Raw genomic sequence first — 23,396 nt, forward strand, 5'->3', positions numbered from 1 at the left:
TCCCTAATGAGATGGTATTTGAATGAGAAAAGCTGGGCATATCATAATTCTTAGCCTAGATATCGTAACTGTGCTTTAGAATTGGACCAAGACACTTTCTTACTAAGAACTATCTTTAGAAGCCATTGTGTGCAAATAACTTCTTTCTTTAACTAGTTGGTGGCCTTTTATTCTGTGAGGTATTTAACATTTAAGTCTGAGTCACTTGCTTTTAATGTGCCACAATGATGTGATCCCTTAATATCGCTGAACTATGACAGTGACATCCTCTTTGAAAAGACCAAGCTACCATTAGAAATGGGTCATGAAGCAAAAGTCATTAACTCATTTAAAAAAGGCCAGAGCCCAGCACCGCATTACTGACAAACCTCCTTCCCTGTGTCCATTTGTCTTTATCAAATATCACTTTAATATCCATCTCCCAAGCATGAGATAGGGTTGTGAAGCAGCTCCCTTTGAAAAATTAAAACCCTTAGCAATTAAATTTGCTTTCAAGTTTCACTTTAGATGAGCAACTTAATTCTTGTATGCAATATTATAAAGTAAGTATTAATAACTCCCAGTAATACAAATAATGATTCCAGAGTTGCTAGTCTGAAAACATTTGAGGACTCTTTTTTTTTGAGACGGAGTCTTGCTCTGTCACCCAGGCTGGAGTGCAGTGGCTTAATCTCGGCTCACTGCCAGCTCCGCCTCCGGGGTTCATGCCATTCTCCTCCCTCAGCCTCCCGAGTAGCTGGGACTACAGGCGCCCACCACCACGCCCAGCTAATTTTTTTGTATTTTTAGTAGAGATGGGGTTTCACCGTGTTAGCCAGGATGGTCTCGATCTCCTGACCTTGTGATCTGCCTGCCTCGGCCTCCCAAAGTGCTGGGATTACAGGCGTGAGCCACCGCGCCCAGCCTTGAGGACTCTTAAAAGAGGAAAATTCAATTAATAGAGTCAATGATGAAAAAGTCAAGACAGAGTTTCTAATATTTTCCTTGATGTTAGTTTTGCAGAAAGACAACATGAGATAGAGGTCGTATCTTTTCCACATACCAAATGAGAGGTTTATTTTAAAATAATGTTAAAGTAGTAACACAAATGATAGGGAATAATATATGTCAACGTGAGTGGGCTTCTTGTACTAACATTTTAAGTTTTATATCAGAATGAGCTTCCACCTTCAGCATTCAAATGGAAATTTCTCACAACAAGGAAAGATAATCTATGCTCTAGGAATCCCCTTCTGGTAGACAACCTTTGTAGAATCAATTTTTACGTCTGTTTTCCTCTGTTATATCTCTCAGAAAACAAAAAGTTTCATGAATTTTTTCTTCTCTGGGCTCTCAGCTACAGATGCTGTTGCAAAATGAGGCAAGAGTGAGTTCTGCCAAGAGCAATGTCCATCATGCAAAATGCCTACTACCTAGGAGCTTTCAGAAGAAGTAAGACAAAGGCTGAACATAGTAGAAGTTTGTGTTTCTTTCCTTCAACTGACCCCATGACAGGAAGCAGGTGGTGGCAGCTGTTTATCCAATAAAAGTATTTTTGTTTGTTTTGTTTTCTTTTGCTTTGAATGGAGTCGCCTATCATCTCAGATCTCAGATATACCTATAAATAAAATTTTAAAATTTAAATATTCAAATATTTTGGCCAACGTGCAACACAATCCGGTTGCTCTTTAAAAGCAGAGATAAAGCTATTTTATAGGCAAAGCAAAGCGCACAGTCACAACAGAACAGCACTGGATGTTTGCGTTTTACTTATTTTATTTTTATTTTTTATTGATTTTTATTTTTGTTTTTTTTTACAAGACGGTACTTTCATTATTGAACTTTAAACATGAAAGATTACATTTCTACAAATATAATAGAACAAAAATGAATGTGGAGAAAAAAGGAATTATGGTAACTGTACAGGGCATGAAATGGGCACTTTCCGATGATTGAGCAAGAAATTAAGTACAGATTATAATACATTCTTTTTAAATTCATTTGACACATTTTATCTTTATTTATAACCTATTCTTGTCTTCATTTTCCTCCTCCCTCCTCCCTTCCTCTTCCCCCTTTCTTCCTTTGTCTACCACTCTGATCTTCATTTTTCATTTCACTTTTTTCTTTTTTATTAAGCATTTGTCATGTATTTTATAAATCTATACTCCTCTGTTACAATAGGTATTAGTTATTCTGCAGCAGATCACCTCAGAGGGCCCCACGCACCCCACAATAATCCCTCCACAAACCCCCTCCACATTTGTTTCTCAGAGCTGAATCTTTAAGGCCACCTGCTGCTGGGGGCAGGCGCCCTCCAATCCGGCAGCTTGGATGGAGCTGAAGCTGTCCACGCGGAGGCTCCTGGGCCCCTGACCTGGCCTCACGGTGTCTCCTTCGGCTGCTGCTACATCCTTCCTCCTACCTCTGCTGCTGCTGCTGTTCTATTATACGTCCGACCTTGACCCAGCTCTGTTGCGGTGTTGACACCTGTCTGTCAGCACTCGTTGAATTTTAGAAAATGCTTGACATATTTTCTCCATCCTCTTATTTTCAGTCTTTCTGAGTATTCCTGTTTTCAGTTTCTCTTCCAGACAAGATATTTCTTCATCCAATTCAGGGTGTCACGTTCTTTTGTTTACCTTGGGTTTTAATTTGTGTAATTAGTATTAAATTAGATCTTATTTTTGACATCTTTATTCACATTTTCAATTTAGGTGTAAATTATAATTATTATTAAATTAAGGGCCAGGTGTGGTGGCTCACACCTGTAATCCCAAAACTTTGGGGGGCCGAGGCAGGGGGGATCACTTGAGATCAGGAGTTCAAGACCAGCCTGGCCAACATGGTGAAACCCCGTCTGTACTAAAAATACAAAAATTACCAGGCGTGGTGGTGCATGCCTGTAATCCCAGCTACTCAGGAAGTGAGGCGGGAGAATTGCTTGAACCCGGGAGGTGGAGGTTGCAGTGAGCTGAGATTGCACCACTGCACTCCAGCCTGGGCAACAGAGCAAGACTCCCTCTCAAAAATAATAATAATAATAATAATAATAATAATAATAATAATAATAATTAATTAAAACTTATTTCTGCCATCTTTTTTTTTATTTCTTCTCTTTCTTCAGACCTTTCTACCCCCCTTCTTTCCTCCTTTCAATAAGATAACTTCACATTTTCTCTTTCTGATTTAAAGGTAACATCTTTCTATTTTTATAATTATGATTGTCATATTTATGACCCATACTCTTTTTATTCTGTCCTTATTAATTTCCTAAATTTATATATATTCACATCTTCCTCCTAACACAATAAAAACTAGATTGTTTCTAATATTTATTTTGTCTTGCCTCTAGTGATTATGTTGTTATTTCCTAGGGCTTCAGTTTTAGATTGCTGTGGATAGACTTTTACTTGTTTTCATCCTTCTACTTACCTAACAAAAATGAGTTTTACTAAGATATATATTTATCCTTAATATCTGTTTTTTTTTTCTTCAAAATGTGTTTTAAATGAGGGCCATTTTATAGTTAAAAGTTCTGAGGCCTTTTAAATGTATGAAAAAACATATGAAAATACTTTTATAAAGCCTTCATTTTTATGAGTCAGCTTCTCTTTAGATTCATAGTTCTTTTTCTTTAGTACATTAAAAATAACCCTAAATTTTCCTATTATATTTAGTTTGCTACTGAGAAGTCAGCTAATCTGATTGTTTCTTTGCAGATGATCTTTCTTGCTGACATTCTTTAAATTTTCCTGCCTTTGAATTCTTAATTCTCATTATAATATTTAAATGCAAATTGTTCCTTATCTTTCCATTTTTCCTTGATAAACTCTTCAATTTGAAGTCTTTCAAGTTTCTTTAATTCTGAAAAATGTCTATTAATTCTCCGCATTTTTCCCCTTATCTTTTCACTTTTCTCTCCTTTTGGGACTCATCCAGGTATTGATATTTATTGTATTCTCTATATCTTTCAGTTTTTCTATTATGTTTTCTCTTTCTTTATTCCCTCAAGGAATTCCTTAATCTGATCTTTAAACTCACTTATTTACTCTTCAGCTGTAAACATCAAAATATTCCATCTATTATGTTCTTTATATCAGCAATTATATTTTATTATATAATATTTTTCCTATATTCTATTTTATGATTATTTCTTATTTTATATTGTTAACATCTTAGATTATCATCTTAACTATACTTATCATCCATTTATAAAATTCTTAGTCTACCTGCTCTGACAATTCTCATTTACAGGATATATAGTGACTATTTCATCTTGTTTCTTTATTTCAGCTCATAAAGGTGTAAGGGCCGTATTTGTGCCAGTCTTGGGTAAGTTTGAGGAAAAAGCTAGGGTTAAGATAAAATGCAGAGAGCCCAGGCATTGTAGGATCCCTCTCATCCAATGACATTCCTCCAAACAGTCCTTCTGATCATGGCTGTACTTCAAAGTCTTAAGATGAAGCTCTGGCCAGGCGTGTTGGCTCACACCTGTAATCCCAGCACTTTGGGAGGCCGAGGCAGGTGGATTGCCTGAGCTCAGGAGTTCGAGACCAGCCTAGGCAACATGGTGAAACCCCATCTCTACTAAAATACAAAAAAAAAACAAAAAAATAGGCATGGTGGTGGGCACCTGTAGTCCCAGCTATTTGGGAGGCTGAGGCAGGAGAATTGCTTGAACCCAGGAGGCAGAAGTTGCAGTGAGCCAAGATTGAGCCACTGCACCCCAGCCTGGGTGACAGAGCCAGACTCCATCTCCAAAAAAAAAAAAAAGATGAAGCCCCACTCGGAAAGGGCAGCCTCTCTAGGATCCGGTCCACCAGCCCTGAGTGCTGTGAGAGGCTAGAGGAGTGAATGTCTAAGGGCGGCTGGTAGGTCCACATTTTTCCAAAGATTTCCCAACCTTACAAGACTTTTGATCTGCTTACTATAACTTCAGAACACATCTGTAAGAAACTGGGCTATTGTTACTTTTTGCTATTCTGGAGGAATTTTTTTTAATGAATTATGAAAACTTTTCTACAATCTATTATGTTGTTCTCTTGCCAAAACTTTCAACCATGGTTCAAACCAGGACCATCTACCTAGTTTTCCCATCCACATCAACTCAAGCCAGCCTTCAGTCTCCCTAGGGTGGTTTCTCTCTCCTCTCTCCCTCCATCTCTCCCTTCCTCATTCCCTCCCTCCATCCCTTCTCTCTCTCTATGTCTGTCTGTCTGTCTCTCTCTCTCTTCCTGGTATCTTTCTCCTTGTATCTACAGTTTGTCCCACATTGATTTTGGGGGACTGCAGCAATCAGCAGCCTCAGCTTTTCCCAGAGGCCTTGCTCATACCTCCCAGGCCTGAACACCTAAAGAACCCATAGCTGCTGGACCCAGGAGGGATGGTTGACCAGTTGATTGGAGTTAGGAGGGAAGCACAGTTGGAATGCGTTCTAACTGCCATATCCCTAGAATCCTTTGGTGTTTAATATTTAGTGCAATAATTTTCATGTAGATTGAATTTAACTAAAGCAAGTGTCATGGCTTTGTCAGGAATCTTAATCATGAAACTTTCCTTGGCTTCCAGTATCTATTTGTGGTAAATGTTAACATGTACCTGACTAGGTGGCTCCTGTTGAAAGCAATTGCAAAAATAAAGGCATAGAGAAGTATGAGTGAAGGTCTGGATTACACTTTCTTTCAAATAAGAATTCAGCATGCATTCTTTTTTCCAGAGATCTTAATTCAAGATCCATAATATTGCATCTTTCTCTTTTCTTCTAAACCACAGGGTAAATGAGCCCTAAAATAATTGTGGGTTCTGAATCTTCACTGGATTCTACTTATGTCACCTGTCTCTTCAATTCTCTAACTACACCCTCCAGACACAACCTCTGAATAAGTGTCCCCAAGCACCTGACACTCTCACTTCCACGCCTTTGCAGATTCCTTCCGGCATGGAATACTCCGCACTTCTCATCTTATTCTCTTGTTCTGCCTATTCTCTGCTCATGCTGAAGAGGCTTCTTGGCGCCTTTTCACTAAGACGATTGGTGACGAGGCCTTCTCCTGGAAGCATGACATCACTCACCTCTCCCAGCCGACGCCATGCTCAAGTCTCCTTGCATGAGACCATCATACTCTGGTTTGGATTTTGTAATTTTTATTTGACTTTTTCTGCCACTGGAATATAGGGTCTTTGAGATCAGGACTCTATGTCCTAGACATTTTTACACTCAACCTTAGCCCCAGTTAGCTTTTAGACAAGTAATTATTGAATGGCAGTAAATATTCCTTGGGTTTCACTGAAGTCTGCTCTAAATGCAGTTGAGTTTAATGATCAAGAGCTTGGACTCTAGCATCAAATGTGAGTTCAGATTATTTCTCCATTACCTCCTAGTTGACTAACACCTACTTTCTGACTATAACAACAAATGTTACTGATAACTATTTCTAGGAAATTCATTAATAACATATCTATTATGTAGTAACTTATCAATAAAGACAAGCTGTTGTAATTTGATCAGGTCAACTTCCTTTCATTAAAAAAAAGGTGAAATTAACTAAATTTATCTTTGGTATGCCCAAAACCACTCTCCCATCTCTCCAGTAACTTCTCTGTGTCTTTATGTGACTCGGGACACTTCTTTGTCAGGAGATAAAATACTTTGATGAGGAGATTTACATAAAGGCGTAAGTAAGAACGACTTAAAAAATTATCTTTGATAACATAGTTGCTGCTAATCCAAAGGAGAAACTTTAATGCTGGAATGGCAGGCATTAACAATAAATAAACCGCTGGAAGTAATTTTGAACGGGATGGCCTATGGGAAACATCCTAGAAATCTTACTATGTAAGGAATCTACTTACTCATTTATTCACTAAGTTGAAAAATTCATACTGAATTCTTGCTGTGGGAAATATTTTTCTGGGTGTGTAGAAATGTAGAGATTTATATTACTTACTTTTATCCTCAAACGTGCTCATAATCTAACAAAGCAGACAATAATATCTTGTATTTATATTGTTTTACATATATTTACTTATAATAACTATCTTGTGATGAAGGTTAAGAATTTCATTCCCAGTGTTCAGGTTTGGAAAAGGAATTGGATTTACCCAAGGTGATACAGCTAGAAAGAGGAGAAATCTATACTCATATGCAGTTCTCCTGAATATAACTATTTTTCCCCCATGACACAATGCCTATACAACCATAATCCAAATAAACTGATAGGTATCATAAGTGCCAAAGTAATACATTTAGATGAGAGTAAAATTAATGTTTGCAATTAATTAGTAATGGTCTCATACATAGGGCATTTCAGTGCGTGGGCACTGAAGAATGAACTGGATTTTGACAGGTGGAGATGGTGGAAAGGACATTCCAGACTGGAAAACTGGAGAAAAAATAGGAAGTGCACAACAGAGGTGGGAAAGAACAGATCTTTTTTTTTTTTTTTTTTTTTTGAGACCGAGTCTCGCTCTGTCGCCCAGGCTGGAGTGCAGTGGCGTGATCTTGGCTCACTGCAAGCTCTGCCTCCTGGGTTCACACCATTCTCCTGCCTCAGCCTCCCGAATAGCTGGGATGACAGGTGCACGCCACCACACCCAGTTAATTTTGCTTTTGTATTTTTAGTAGAGACAGGGGTTCACCATGTTAACCAGGGTGATCTCGATCTCCTGACCTCATGATCCACCTGCCTCGGCCTCCCAAAGTGCTGGGATTACATGCATGAGCCACCATGCCCAGCCTAGAACAGATCATATTGTAGGAAGGCCAACCACCCTGGCTGACTAGAATATGGGGTATGTGAAAGAAAGAAGTGGTTTTGATAATATTTAAAATATAGATTGGAACTAGATTATAGAGAATTGTAAGTTTTCACTCTTTTCCAAAGCCAGTAGTACTCAGGCCTGGCTCAGAATCAGAGTCGATTTTGCAGCTTTTTTTTGAAATGCCCACGCCTTGGCAGCACTCCCAGAGATCCTATTCATTAGCTCTCAGGTGCATGGACATCTGCATATTTTAAGATTCCTCTATTGATCCTGCCCTGTAGGTACAGTAGAGGGTCCGCGTCATGGTGATTGAAGCGCGGTCCACTTGGCGTGTGGTCTGTAGACTGTGCTAGTTTTCAAAGGATTAGTGCCCATGAAGAGAAATTGAATAGTGAAAGGGTAAAAACTGTATAGCAGTTTGATGAAGTAATTTTATATCTGTTGAGACACAGAACTTAAAAATGGCAATGTGTTTTATATGTGTTTTGTTCATTCTTGCACAATTCATCTTATTATATTTTACAAAGATATTGTTACCTGAGAATTGGAAATTAAAAACAAAAACAAAACTGGGTTTTTCACACAGATAATCCAGGAAGTGTCATCACTCCAGGCCACGGTGGCATTCGTGAATGGGAAACAATGTTTGGAAAGTGTGCCGTTTTGACATCAGTGTGGCTCTGGCACGTTGGATGGATGAGATGAGTAGGAATCAGTGTGAAGTCCGCATTACAACATGCTTGGATTCAGTTATGCCAATGGTAATGGAAAGAAAGAGGAAAGATTTCAGAGAAGTATGCAAAGAAAAAAAAGAAACAAACTGTCAATAGATAGAATAAAAGAAAAGATAAAATCTAAAAATGTTCTTGATGTTTCATGCCTGCGTGACTGAAAAAAAAAGTGCTACTATTTAGAAGTATGTAGATATCATTAAGAACATTTGGGGGCAAAAAGGGGGTGGAAGTGAGGGTGGAGACAGTGATTTTAGCTCTAGGCACATTCAGTTTAAGAAGTCTGAAGTAAGGCCGGGCTCAGTGGCTCACGACTGTAATCCCAGCACTTTGGGAGGCCGAGGCAGGTGGATCACGAGGTCAGGAGATCGAGACCATCCTGGCTAACACGGTGAAACCCCGTCTCTACTAAAAATACAAAAAATTAGCCGGGCGTGGTGGCGGGCGCCTGTAGTCCCAGCTACTCGGGAGACTGAGGCAGGAGAATGGCGTGAACCCGGGAGGCGGAGCTTGCAGTGAGCCGAGATCGCGCCCCTGCACTCCAGCCTGGGCGACAGAGCGAGACTCCGCCTCGAAAAAACAAAAACAAAAACACAAAGTCTGAAGTAAGTCAAATGGAAATGTTTCCAAAGCCGGTGAACATATGGGCCCTGGAACAGTGACAGTCACAGCAGTTGGGATCATAATCAGGGGTGGTATTAAGGACATATTCAAAGTGGCCAGTGGAGCACAGCACTGACAGCCCCGAAGGCACAGTGGCCATAAATGCACGACGTTGCCAAGGGAGTGCCTGCCCACTGAAGGGCAGCCCTGGCTAGAGGTGGGATAACCCTGGATAAGAGTGGGCAGGGAGGGGGATCTCTGAGGGAGAGATGATAGAGAAAGCAAAGAGATTGTAAAATAACTCTTAGTGAAAGTGAGAGGAGAAAGGGGATGTGGGAAATGTGGAAGAATGATATAAAGTTGGTTTTCTTTCTTTCTTTTTTTTTTTTTTAGACAGAGTCTCGCTGTTGTTGCCCAGGCTGGAGTGCAAACCTCCGCTTCCCGGGTTCCAGCAATTCTCCTGCCTCAGCCTCCCGAGTAGTGGAGATTACAGGCGCCCGCCACCATGCCCAGCTAATTTTTGTATTTTTAGAGGAGACGGGGTTTCTCCATGTTGGCCAGACTGGTCTCAAACTCCTGACCTCAGGTGATCCACCCGACTCGGCCTCCCAAAGTGCTGGGATTACAGGTGTGAGCCACCATGCCCAGCCAGTTTTCTCTTGAAATCAGGAAGAGAAGAAATTTTAAAATGAAAAGAACAAGATGACAAACATTGATGAACCATACAGAGAAATGGAAGAGAATGAGAAATAAGTAAAGACTAGATTTAGGGAGCAAAAATAAACAGGAAAGCTTGAAGAAATCAGCTTTAGTATGTTAGGAAAAATTTAAGATATAGAGCAATGAATAGCAATATTTGGTAAATGCTACCGGCTGGATTGTGACGCCCTAAAACCCATATGTTGGAGCCCTCATTCCAATGTGATGGAATTTGGAAAAGGGACCTTGGGGAGGTAATTAGGTCATGAAGGTAGAGCCCTCATGAGAAGATGAGTGTCCTTACTGATTTTATTTTTATAGATTTAGGAGGTGAAAGTGCAGGTTTCTTACAGGCATATACTGTGTACTGGTGAAGTCTGGGCATTTAGTGTACTCATCACCTGAGCAGGAAACACTGTACACAACAGTTAATTTTCAACCCTCACCCCCCTCCCACCTTCCAGCTTTTGTAGTCTCCAATATCTAATTTTCCATTCTGTATGTTTTTGTGTACACATTGTTTAGTTCCCACTAATAAGTGAGAATGTGCTGTTTCTGATTTATTTTACTTAGGATAATGGCCTCCAGTTCCATCCATGTTGCTGCAAGACATAATTCTATTCTTTTTTTTTATTATTATTTTTGAGACGGAGTCTGGCTCTGTCGCCCAGGCTGGAGTGCAGTGGTGCGATCTCGGCTCACTGCAAGCTCTGCCTCCCGGGTTCACGCCATTCTCCTGCCTCAGCCTCCCGAGTAACTGGGACTACAGGCGCCCGCCACCACGACCGGCTAATTTTTTGTATTTTTAATAGAGATGAGGTTTCACTGTGTTGGCCAGAATCGTCTCAATCTCCTGACTTCATGATCCACCCGCCTCAGCCTCCCAAAGTGCTGGGATTACAGGTGTGAGCCACTGCAATCAGCCGATTTTATTCTTTTTATGTTCACGTAGTATTACAAGGAATATATATGCCACATCTTCTTTATGCAGTCGTCTGTTAATGGACTCTTAGTTTGATTCCATATGTTTGCTATTGTGAATAGTGTTGTGATAAACACAGGAGTGCAGGTGTCTTTTGGATGTAATGATTTATTTCCCTTTGGGTAGATACCCAGTAGTCAGATTGCTAGATTGAATGGTAGTTCTTTTTTTAGTTCTCTGAGAAATCTCTGTACTGTTGTTCAGAAAGGTTGAACTAATTTACATTTCCAAAAACAATGTATATGTGTTCCCTTTTTCTTGCATCCTCACCAACATCTGTTGTTTTTAGACTTTTTAATAATAGGCATTTTCTCTGGTGTAAGATGGTATATTCTTGTGGTTTTAATTTGCATTTATCTGATGATTAGTGATGTTGAGAATTTGCTTATATTTTTCTTGACCATTTGTATGTCTTCTTTTGAAAAAATGTCTTTTCATGTCTTTCCCCCACTTTTTAATGGGGTTGTTTTTGCCTTGTTGAGTTGTCTGAATTCCTTGTAGATTCTGGATATTAGCCTTTGGTCAAATGCATAGCTCACAAATATTTTTTACCATTCTGTAGATTATCTGTTTATTGATTGTTTCTTTTGCTGTGCAGAAGCAAATACAAAACACTGATGAAAGGAATCATGGATGACACAAACAATAGAAAAACATTCCATGCTTATGGATTGGAAGAATCAATATCATTAAAATGACCATACTGCCTAAAGTAATCTACAGATTCAACACAATTCCTATCAAATTACCAACATCATTTTTCAGAATTAGAAAAAAAAATCCTAAAATTCATATGGAACCAAAAAAGAGCCCAAATAGCCAAAGAAGTTCTAAGCAGAATGAGCACAGCTGGAAGTATCACATCATCTGATCTCAAAGTATACTACAAACTACAGAAACTAAAACAGCATGGTACTGGTGTAAAAATAGACATGAAGAACACTGAAACACAATAGAGAATCCGCAAATAAAGCCACATTCCTACAAATAACTGATCTTTGACAAAATCAACAAAAATATACACTGGAGAAAGGACACCCTATTCAATAAATGGTACTGGGAAAATTGGAGAGCTGTATGCAGAAGAATGGAGCTGGATCCATACCTCTCACCATATACTAAAATTAACTCAAGACAGATTAAAGACCTGAATGTAAAACCAAAAACTATAAAGATCCTAGAAGAAAACCTACGAAAAATTCTTCTGGACGTTGGCCTAGCAAAGAATTTATAACCAAGTTCTCAAACGTAAATGCAACAACAACAAAGACAAATGGGACTAAATTAGATTAATGTCTTTAAAAGACAAATAGGAGGCTGTCATCTGCAAGCCAGGAAGAAGTCCCTTACCAAGAACTAAATCTGCAGGCACCCAGATCATGGGGCTTCCTAGCCCCCAGAATGGTAAGAAAAATTTTCTGTTTTACAAGCCACCCAAGCTATGACATTTTGTTATGGCAGCCCAAGCAAGGAATGACACTAAAGAAGTGGAGGCAGTGAATATAAAGTCTTCACAATGCTACCAAATAAATGAAAGAAAAGGTAAGATTGTCGTTTAAGAAGGGTGAAGAAAACAAAGGCAGTATTTGAAGAGTGAGTGGCTGAAAATTATTCAGAAATGATGAAAGACATCAATTCAGAGATACTGGAATCCCAAGAAATATCAAACAAAATAAATAATATATATTCAATCCATTTTAATGAAACTGCTGAACATCAAATACATGGAAATCTTAAAAGTACTCAGAGATAGCAGGCATGTAACTTGCTACGTAAACTGAAAACAGATTTTTCAACAGAAACAGGGCAAGCTGGAAAATCGTAGAATCATATTTTCAAAATGCTAACAGAAAACTCAGAAATTCATTTCCAGCAAAAATCTTCCAATGGGAATGAAGGCAAAATAAAGACATTTTCAGACACACAGAACAGAGCTTGTCACTAAATACAATTTTCTGGCAGAAGGAAAATAATCCCAGTTAGAAAGTTGTGAATATAGAAGGGAATAAAATATGACAAGACTGGTAAATATGTGAAAAATTTAAATAAAGATCAACTACATTAACTTGGCCCAGGCTGGAGTGCAGTGGCACGATCTCAGCTCACTGCAACCTCCACCTCCCAGGTTCAAGTGATTCTCCTGCCTCAGCCTCCCGAGTAGCTGGTATTACAGGCACATGCCACCACATCCGGCTACTTTTTTTTTTTTTTTTGTATTTTTAGTAGAGATGAGGTTTCACCGTGTTAGCCAGATGATCTGGATCTCCTGATCTCGTGATCTGCCTGCCTCAGCCTCCCAAAGTGCTGGGATTACAGGTGTGAGCCACCACACCTGGCCAAAACTTATGTCTTGTAGAGTTTAAGATATGGAAAGTAAGTGACAACACTGTGTAAGTCACAGAGCAGTAAAAGAAGTTGGAATATTTTACCACAGTTGCAAAAAGGAGAGGGTTTGTGAGGCCCGGGCTTCTTTATATACAAGAAAAGGCAACACTGCCAAATCCGAGTCTAGGCGCCCAGAAAGCTAATGCAAAACCAGTGCCTAAAGGAGGAAAGTATCAATGTCACCTTGAAAGTGAACAGAGACACTACTGTTATTAAAAAGAAAAACAAGTCATGAGGAAGAAGAATGTATTGAGTCGTTAGCATGCTCAAGGAGGTTTCCACATATTAATATTATCTTAATTTATGTTATTTATTCCTGTTATATTCTAATACTATGTATTATTATTTATGCTAATACTATGTATTATTATCTCCTTTTTCCAAGGAGGAAACTGACTCTGTAGGGTGAGCTAACTCATCCTGAATCAAAGCTGCAATGTGGAGATTGGTGTGTTCCATTACATCTCATTGCCCCTTTAGAAGCAGGCTGTGCTGGGGACCAGGAGGAGGCCATTGGATGGGTGCCAGGAAGCTCAGGGCTTCAGGCATGGCTGACCCTGTTTCCACTGGGCCCCAGGGAAATTGAAGCCAAATGTATGAGGATGGAACAGTTCTGAGGCTTTCATAAGTTATTTTCTGTAATCCATTGACCATTTTGATGATCATTTTTCCTCCCAGAAAAATTCACTTACCCCTTTTCTCTTCTGTGGACTGCATTGCCACATTTTCCTCTCTCATTTGATTTCACAAGTGTCCATAATCTTACTTGCTCCTTTCCTTTGGCATTTTCTCTTGGAATCTAAGTATCTCTGTTTTTTATATTTTATAGTCACTTGCTTCATGTTTATCCTCTTTTTGTTTTCTATCTCTTTCTTTCCCCAAAGAAATAAGTCTTTGCTGCAATTCATAGGGGCTGATATTGAACCATACGTCCAGGGTATTACTTTACAATGTCCATAAGCTCCCAGAAATGCACCAGAAATACGCCAACAATTAAATGACACTTTATTTCTGGGCGTAGGTAGGGGTTCTTGCTGCCCAAGCACAGCCTGGCAGACAGAGGCAGGACTTCAAATGACCACTGCAAGCCTCTCTTTTTGACGGATGCAGCTCATCCAATACACCAAGAGAAGGATTGTCCAAATTAAAATCTATTTCTAACAGGAACCCATCAGGAACAATCCCTAATACTGTTCTTCCATGAAGAATAAAAAAGGTAAAAGTCATATAAAAGAGGGAAGACATGGCAAGATAGTTACAAGAATATTTTCAGAGTATAAGTTTTAGGAAATATGCTGAATTATCCAGTGTTTTAATTACCCTGAAGCTGGACTTTCCAACCAAAACTCATAATCTAATTAAGGAAGTCCATCATATCAACAGCACATAAAGCAACAAGCAATTAACATTTTCCAAAAATGAAACTGATGCAGGAGCATTTCGATTTACTCTAATTATACTGTGAATGCTGTGCCTAATGCAACAATGCCTTTGCATTTAAAAAATTGTCTTTAAAGGTCTCCCTCCAAATTGTAATAGGCTTATATTTCTCCCATTCTAGCTGCCTGTAATATACATAAAAATGAGAATTACAAAGAATTCTCAACTCATGGATATTATAAAATATAGATGACAGAAACTTGGCCCTGAATGCTCCCACAAGAACAGTTTGCAGCAATCACACTACAAAGAGTTGTAAGGATAGCACTTTGATCAATCTGCTTCATTCATCTCTATGCGCTTGAAAGAAATGTCTTGGAAAGGGCTAAGAGCCAGCGTTCCTGAACCTCCGAATACAGGCTTGTTCTTGCACCAGATATCGTGCCTACCGCAGTGCAGAGCTCGCTAAGCCTTCAGGAAGCTTTTGTTTCAGACCACAGTGGTGTGCACTCCTCTAAAGCATATGCTGCAGTACATGACTGAGCCTTCTGTCAGCTGATGAACTGCATCTGACTCCTGGTGTTTAAAGGGTCTGAAACAAGCATATCATTCTGCAAAGTCTGAGATTCAAAATAAGTAAATCCTATTGATTATATCAGTAGAAATTACAATCATGGGATTCTAGAAGTACAGGGAAACTGGAGGAAACTCCAGATGAAGAAGCTGACATCCAGGAAATAAATAGTTGCCCACTCCTACACAAAGTGGGAAACAAATTGGCTTTATTGACTCCTAAACTTTTGGAATCAGAAAGATCTGGCTTCAGATTCAACTTTTCCATTTAATGTGGGAATGTGAGCGAGTTACTTCCCTAGCCCTTTGGTTTCGTGGTCTTTAAAATGGAAACAGTAATACAGACCCCTTACAACATGAAGATCAGATGAAATGACACATGGGGAACCTTTGATGTTCCCACTGTTCTGAGCTGCAGGCTCTCTGAAGTGATCTTCTTCCTTCTCATGTCATTTTCTGAGGTAATAAAAAGCAGATGTGAAGTAAAAATTTGTCAGATAATTAATCAAGAAGAAAAACCAGAGCAGGCAGGACCTTCAGATATTCAAAATCATAAAGTTGACATTTTATCTAAATTCCTCAAGTTGGCTTTTCATAGAAGCTATATAACTGGTGTTTCACACTGCACGTCATGTTTTTACCGAAATAAGAGGAAGATTACATCCCTAAATACAAATTTACTACCAAATCATGACGTGAGAATAGGAGAAATAGCTCCGTGGGACATTAGCCAAGAACCGTGATAAATAAGAAGAGAGAAGAAGGTTGGGTGCTAAGTTAGATGATAAAGTTACCATGATTTTCTAGCTAATAATTATCCTACATTCTCAGATGCCTGAAGAAAGATACATGTGTTTGTGTGTATATATATATATGTGTGTGTGTGTGTATATATGGCATGCAACACCATAAATTAATTAGATGTGCCTTGTATCACATAGCTTGAATTAAGACCATAGAAAAGATAACAGAAGTAAGAATTTAAAAATAGGACCCAATATAAATATCTATTTGATTTATGAGTGCATTTATTAATTCATATATTTATTGATACTTCCTCTGTGAATAACTGTGCAAGTTTTAGAAATATAAAAATGCAGCTGGTGCAGTGGCTTACACCTGTAATCCCAGCACTTTGGGAGGCCAAAGTGAGTGGATCATGAGGTCAAGAGATCGAGACCATCCTGGCCAACATGGTGAAACCCCATCTCTACTAAAACTACAAAATTAGCTGGGTGTGGTGGCGGGTGCCTGTAGTCCCAGCTACTCAGGAGGCTGAGGCAGGAGAATCGCTTGAACCTGGGAGGTGGAGGTTGGCTCCACTGCACTGCAGCCTGGGCAACAGAGCAAGACTCCATCTCAAAAAACAACAAAAAAAAGAAATATAAAACTGAATTAAATATGATCCCAGCCATCAAAGAATGCACAATTCTAGAATAACAAAGCATAAGCTTATAGCACTGGCATGGTTTCCTGCTGAGTCTATAGAGCCTGCTTCCAATGTTATCATGCCACTGTCAAAAGACATACAAAATTAAACAATATTTTAAAGAGCAAAAAACCTCTGTGTCTCAAACTCCAACAAATACTATTTCTACAGGACATACAAGTTTTCAAATGCTTTGAGTTAGCCTTTCACAATAAATTATTTTCCAAAAAAATGATTTTTAATGTGTAAAAATTTTTCTGCTGTGAGAAAAAATAAAATATTGTTTAAAATCTTAATACTTTAACACTTTACAATACTTTATATATTATTTTATATAATTGTCCTCATAGAGTATATGTAAGTTTGTGTCATGTATTATATGCCTAGTGTTACATCCTAAACATGTCCCCAGTGGTAACCACTGTTTGTTTTTATGGCAGCACTGTATTAAATTTAAGTAATAATTTACTGAATAATGTCTGTATTGTTGGATATTTAGAATTTTTCTGCTTTGTGATCATAATAAACAATGTAATTGGTACAGGGCTTTAAAATGTGATAATTATTTAGACCATCACTGAAGTCCCAAAATACTAGCTACCATATTCCAAAGTTAAGTCAAGAAACCATGAAGGGCCGGGCGCAGGGGCTCATGCCTGTAATCGCAGCATTTCGGAGGCCGAGGTGGGTGGATCACATGAGGTCAGGAGTTCGAGACCAGCCTGGCCAACATGGTGAAACCCCGTCTCTCCTAAAAATACAAAAATTAGCAGGGCGTGGTGGCGCTTGCCTGTAATCTCAGCTACTCGGGAGGCTGAGGCAGGAGAATCGCTGGAAACTGGGAGGTGGAGGTTGTGAGTGAGATTGCGCCACTGCACTCCAGCCTGGGTGACACAGCAAGACTCTGTCTCAAAAAAAAGAGAAAGAAAGAGAGAAAGAAAGAAAGGAAGGAAGGAAGGAAGGAAGGAAGGAAGGAAGGAAGGAAGGAAGGAAGAAAGAAAGAAAGAAAGAAAGAAAGAAAGAAAGAAAGAAAGAAAGAAAGAAAGAAAGGGAGAAAGAGAGAAAGAAAGAGGAGGGAAGGAGGGAAGGAGGGAAGGAGCCATGAAGGACCTGTGCAGATATTGGGAAAAACTGTGTTAAGCCGGGTCATATCCCTGCCCCCCACGAATGCTTCCTCCTCATCTCAAGTGACGTAAGGCGATTTCCAAGAGCATGCTATGAGGCTCTGGGAATTTGGAACCTCGTGGCCTGGTCTGGCTCAGACAAGAGAAATGTAAAACACAGGAGACCTTGGCTGGCAAGGAGAGGTTACTGCATTGTTGGACAAAGGATGTGTGGCAATTGTCTCAAATACTGTCTAAAACACGTCAGAAAGAGAAAGACTTCCCAGATGCCTCAAAGATTAGCGAAATTACCAGCAACCTGTTAAAAAAGAAGTCTCACCAATATTAAGAGAACGCTAAGTAAAAGATCCCTGGAAATACGGTCTTCAAAGAACCCATGTGAGCATCCAGGAGGGACGTGTTGGCTTAAATACCTGCCAGACCAAAGGAGCGCCTGTCCCTTCTCATTCCAATCAGTGAAGTGAAACATGGCAGCCTCCTTTAAGTGAATGTATGTAGTGTGTAAGGGGTCGGAGAGGGAAGCCACAAAAGCAAAGGAGGGAAAAACAGAGGGGAAATCTTCCTCCCTCCCATCACAGGACTGAGGCTGAGGAGACAAGAAAGAATCTTTTTAAATAAATATGAAGCTGTAATCACTCTACTAGAGTAAAGAAACTAATTTGTAAGTGATTCTTCTTTGTTTTTCTAACCATAAGCATCAGTAGGACTCTTCACTATCTAAGAATGAGTTGGGGGACCACGAGATCTGAGCTCCTTGTCATCCAGGAAGATGGGAGGAATGAGTTTTACAGAATGGTTGTAACAAGAAGTCAGCAGATAGCAAGCTGATACCTGATACCGTACCAAGAGTCTTGCTTTTCCAACATAACAGTCAGACTATAATACAGATTACAATTTGTAATCCCAGCATTTTGGGAGGCCAAGGCAGGAGGATCCCTTGAGCCCAGCAGGTCGAGGCTGCAGTGTGCTATGATCACACTGTTGCACTCCAGCCTGGGCAACAGAGTGAGACCCTGTCTCTTAAAAAAGAGAGAAAAAGAAAAAAAGAAAAGAAAATTATGTTGCAATTACATTTTGCATTCTTTTAGTATATCTCCTTTGGATAAATCCTCAGAAGTGAGATTGCTAGGGATTTCATGCAGGTGCCATCATTTACTTAATCAAACCCTATTTGCAAACAATCTAGGAGTTTTTCCTTCATTTTTTATGATGATCAATGATGTTGAAATGGATGTAATTTTATGTAACAGATTTTTCCTCCTTTTGGGCTATTTACTGTTTATGTGTGACCCATGGGTGGAAATTGTTTTTGCTCTTGATGCATTTACAAATGGCTCTCTAAAGGGATTGTTCCCCCTTCATTATTACCAGTGGTGTGTGAACATCCATTTTACTAGAACTAGATATTATTTAAATACAAATTAATAAATATAAAATATCAATCTTTTAAATTTGAATCTCTTCTTTCACTAAAAATATTATCCCATTCACTTACCATTTACAATTTCTCCTTTGTGGAGTGGTTTATATTTTTGTCAATTTATCCCAAAGGGATTTTCTGATTATAGACTGCTCATGTTCTCACCCCAGGCTCTCCAGCTGCATCTGTACCAGCAGGGGGAAAAGGAATAAAATAGGTGATAATATAATCATAAATATTTGCAGGAATCCTGCTGTCCAAGTTTCCTACTACTCTGGGCATTCACATTTATTTATTTATTTATTATTTATTTTAGACAAGGTTTGGCTCTGTCACCCAGGCTGGAGTGAAGTGCCACGATCTTGGCTCACTGCAACATTTGCCTTCTGGGCTCAGGTGATCCTTCTGCATCAGTCTCCTGAGTAGCTGGAACTACAGGTGCATGCCACCATACCTGGCTAATTGTGTGTGTGTGTGTGTGTGTGCGTGTGTGTGTGTGTATGTGTGTACAGAAGGGGTCTCACCATGTTGCCCAGGGTGGGTTCAAACTCCTGGACTCAAGCGATCCACCCACCTTGGCCTTCCAAAGTGCTGGGATTACAGGCACGAGCCACCACATTTAATTCTTAATAAAGACAATGGAATTTCTAGGAAGAACTTCCTCTTACGAAAGGAGCTAATTTGTTTTCTTTTGCAAGATATGTTGTATTTATCATTATAACTTAGATCAAATGAAAAAAATAACAAGGGAATTTTGCATCTTTTTGGTAAAAAAATCTGATAAGTTTCAGCAATATTAAGATTACTGTAAAGGCTTCTCTTCACAAAGAGTCTAAATAGGACATTGAATAGCTTCTTAACCAAAATGAAGTAAAATTTGAGTAACTAAAGTAAAATAAAATTTTTCATGTCTGAGCCAGACCAGGCCACGTGGCTCCAAATTCCCAGAACCTCATAGCATGCGCTTGGAAATTGCCTTCCGTCACTTGAGATGAGGAAGCATTCATGGGGGGCAGGGGTATGATCTGGCTTCTGACAGCTTTTTCCCAATATCTGCTTCTCTTGCCCTCATCTCCAAAAGCCTCAGACCTTTGGCTCACAAGCCCTTCATGGTCTCCTTCTTTCTTCTTCTTCTTCTTTTTTTTTTTTTTTTGAGTAAAAGAACACTAAAACAGCAAGAAAATTTTTCTGTAGTTATCAGAAATTTCGCTGTTATGCGGATAGCTTTGTTTTTCATTATTAAACATAATTTTGTGTTTCTTCTAAAAGAAATTATATTTTGCATCTAAACGATAGCCACAACAAAATCATTAGAAAGATATTATACAACCATATCCAAGTAGGATAAATAGTTGTTGTAGAAATCACAAAGCAGAAATACGTTATCACAATCAGTGAATTTGATTTGAATTTTAGATAATCATATATTTCTACCCAAATGAATCTTGCATTTATATCTATGTGACAGCTGCCAAATTGGCCTGGAATGGAATTTGGCTGATGTAATTTACAACAGTTCATCTATTTGGTTTAAACAAATAGCAAAGACCAGGAATACCAGAGTTGGGACATACCTGATTTACAAAGAGCAATCAGACGAATCGGTGTTTTCATTCTACTCAGATCTACCCAGGTTGTGTCACTTTAGGTTAGGACACAGTCGTGGAGATTTTGTCTTTAACTGCTATGCGGTTTTGGTTGTGAGAAGCCAATCACCTTAGAACTGGCTTCTGCCACTTTTTGGAGGGAAACATCAGAAAAAAGGGCAAAGTAGAGTTTTCTCTCCTTGGCTTTCTTTGGTTATTAAGAGCTCCCCACCCTCTCTCTAGTATTTGTGATGCTGCTTCTGTCCCTCTACTTAATCCTATTGAAGCTCACATCACACTCTAGCCTGGCATCATTTTTGTGAGTCTTAGAGATAAAAATGGTACTGGAGTATTACTTAATAAAATCCACCCACTTTTCTAAATACAAACAAAACAAACTGACAAATGAATAGAACAATTACTTAGCAACCAATGGGTGGAGGATGACCTCCTGACAAAGGGTGGGTACCAACAGTATTTAACCTGCAGCATATACTTAGCAGAAAACATCAGAAGCCTGCTTGTTAAATATCCCAGCAACAAGACACAAATACTCCCTATCACTGGTACTATTCAAAACTGTAGAGAAAGTCCTGCCAAAAATATACAAGCTAAACGTGAGTGATAGGATTACTGGAAACAACGAAAAAAGAAATTCTACCTAGAAAAGCCAAAAAAAAATCAACTGACAAACTGGTAAGTCACTTTAGCCAGCTCAAAATATAAAATAAAAGCAGGACAAAATCAGTAACATCAGCACTAGGCTACTTGAAAATATAACTTAAAATGTTCAATTACACTAGCAACACACTTATCTACATAGGAAGATACCTAATTAGAAAAGGGTGAGTCCTGTATGAAAAAAACATAAAATTGAATTTAAGAACATAAAAGAAAGTGAAAACAGACCTACATCCTACGCCAGGTTAAGAGAGTTCCATATAATAGAAAAGTTTTTAATTCCTAAATTAATAAATTCTGTTCAATTTTTAAAGATAAGCATGTTTCCAAGAAACACTACCATTCAAAGCTTCATCTGGAAGAGTGAATTTAAAAACATAGACAAAGGAATTTTTTTTTTTTGAGATGGAGTCTCGCACTGTCGCCCAGGCTGGAGTGCAGTTGCGCCATCTCGGCTCACTGCAACCCCTGCCCCCTGGGTTCAAACAATTCTCCTGCCTCAGCCTCCCAAGTAGCTGGGATTACAGGCACCCGCCACCTTGCCCAGCTAATTTTTTGTGTTTTTAGTAGAGATGGGGTTTCATTATGTTGGTCAGGCTGGTCTTGAACTCCTGACCTCATGTGATCCACCCACCTCGGCCTCCCAAAGTGCTGGGATTACAGGTGTGAGCCACCACACCTGGCCAACAAAGGAATTTTTTAAAAAGAACAAGACTGTGAGGTGAAGCTAAAGAACTAGCCCTTAACAACATAAAAACATACCATAAAGTTGTAATAATTCAGTTAATCTCCATTACTGTTTTAAGTGAGGATTTGGCATAAGAAAGGAAAAAATCAATCTGTGAAACAGAATAGGAAATATAGAAACTGACCCATGTGTATAACTCATGTGCAGAATGATAAAGGTAAATCATTCAAAATTGTAGGAAAAGGATGGATAGGAAAATACAATAAAAATAGAATTTGAAAACCTATTTATCCATTTGTGGGGTAAAAATAACTTTACAGCTCACATGTCATATATTCCAGATTCAGTAAAACCATAATATTATTGTAAAAAATAGAATAATTTTCAGAATATGGAAGGCCTTGTAAGTAATAACTGGGAAAAAAACAATAATGGGAAAGACAGACAAGTTTGGCTACATAGAATGTAAATTTTTGTATAATAATAATAATAAAAGTAATATAAATAGAAGTCAAGAGACAGACTGGGAGAAACTCTTCCACTTAGAAAACATACAAAGACAATACCACACATTGGTGAAGAAAGGATGTAGACTGCGTTTGTCTGACTGTCTGACTTTGTGCCCAGCTCTGCCACCAACTGTGACCTTGGGCAAGGTCATTGTCATCAATTTGTTTAATATAGTTGCTGCTTTGGCATCCATTCCTAAGCCAGACATTTTATATATATATATATATATATATATATATATATATATATATATATATATTCCCCCCCAGACGGAGTTTCGCTTATGTCGACCAGGCTGGAGTAGGAGTACAATGGGGCAATCTTGGCTCACCGCAACCTCTGCCTCCTAGATTCAGGCGATTCTCCTGCCTCAGCCTCCCGAGTAGCTGGGATTACAGGCGTGCGCCACCACACCTAATTTTGGGATTTTTTTTTTTTTAAGTAGAGACGGAGTTTTATCATGTTGGTCAGGCTGGTCTTGAACTCCTGACCTCAGGGGATCCACCCACCCTGGCCTCCCAAAGTGCTGGGATTACAGGCGTGAGCCACCTTGCTCAGCCGTTAATATATTTTTTGAAGCTCAGCCGCACCCCATCACCTTTGTCCTAGTTAAACCTCCCCTCGCGTGTGAGTAGTTGTGATACAGCCTGCTTCTTCCTCATCTCACTGACCTGAAACCCAGCACACCCCACGGCTGCTGGTGGTGGTGAAGCCTCCTGGTCAGCACCAGAAACTATAACAAAGTTCCTCGCTTTGCCGTGGTTTCTTTACAGTCGCCCATCCACACCTGCACAGGGAAGGCCTAGGGGAAAACACCCATGGACCCCAATAAAGGCACAGCCCCCAAGTCCTCCCTCTCTCA

General features: G+C 39.2%; 2 long non-coding RNA genes across 4 annotated transcripts in view, besides 2 other annotated features; both read right to left on the reverse strand.

Annotated features, from left to right (window-relative positions):
* Positions 1–23,396, reverse strand: part of LINC02492 (long intergenic non-protein coding RNA 2492) — a 139,764-nt gene that overhangs the window by 30,399 nt on the left and 85,969 nt on the right. The window lies entirely within an intron of this gene.
* Positions 1,354–23,396, reverse strand: part of LOC105377604 (uncharacterized) — an 81,735-nt gene continuing 59,692 nt past the window's right edge. Inside the window, exons 3-4 of one of the 3 annotated variants that reach the window (XR_939614.3) lie at positions 19,145–19,254; positions 1,354–1,597 (exon numbers count right to left, since the gene is read on the reverse strand). This is a non-coding gene — a long non-coding RNA (uncharacterized LOC105377604). Of the gene's footprint in view, positions 1,598–1,737; positions 2,622–14,127; positions 15,553–19,144; positions 19,255–23,396 lie in introns of those variants that run through there. The other 2 variants (XR_939612.3, XR_939613.3) reach the window with 2 other exon arrangements.
* Positions 1,823–2,324: an enhancer, noted in NCBI's record as "H3K4me1 hESC enhancer chr4:188486253-188486754 (GRCh37/hg19 assembly coordinates)". NCBI's record gives its function as "activates a minimal SCP1, AML or CMV promoter by ChIP-STARR-seq in primed H9 embryonic stem cells {active_cell/tissue: H9 hESC(primed)}" and the evidence as "EXISTENCE:reporter gene assay evidence [ECO:0000049][PMID:30033119]".
* Positions 2,325–2,824: an enhancer, noted in NCBI's record as "H3K4me1 hESC enhancer chr4:188486755-188487254 (GRCh37/hg19 assembly coordinates)". NCBI's record gives its function as "activates a minimal SCP1, AML or CMV promoter by ChIP-STARR-seq in primed H9 embryonic stem cells {active_cell/tissue: H9 hESC(primed)}" and the evidence as "EXISTENCE:reporter gene assay evidence [ECO:0000049][PMID:30033119]".

Source organism: Homo sapiens, chromosome 4 (genome assembly GCF_000001405.40).
Source record: "Homo sapiens chromosome 4, GRCh38.p14 Primary Assembly".
In the NCBI taxonomy this organism is placed as follows: domain Eukaryota; kingdom Metazoa; phylum Chordata; class Mammalia; order Primates; family Hominidae; genus Homo; species Homo sapiens.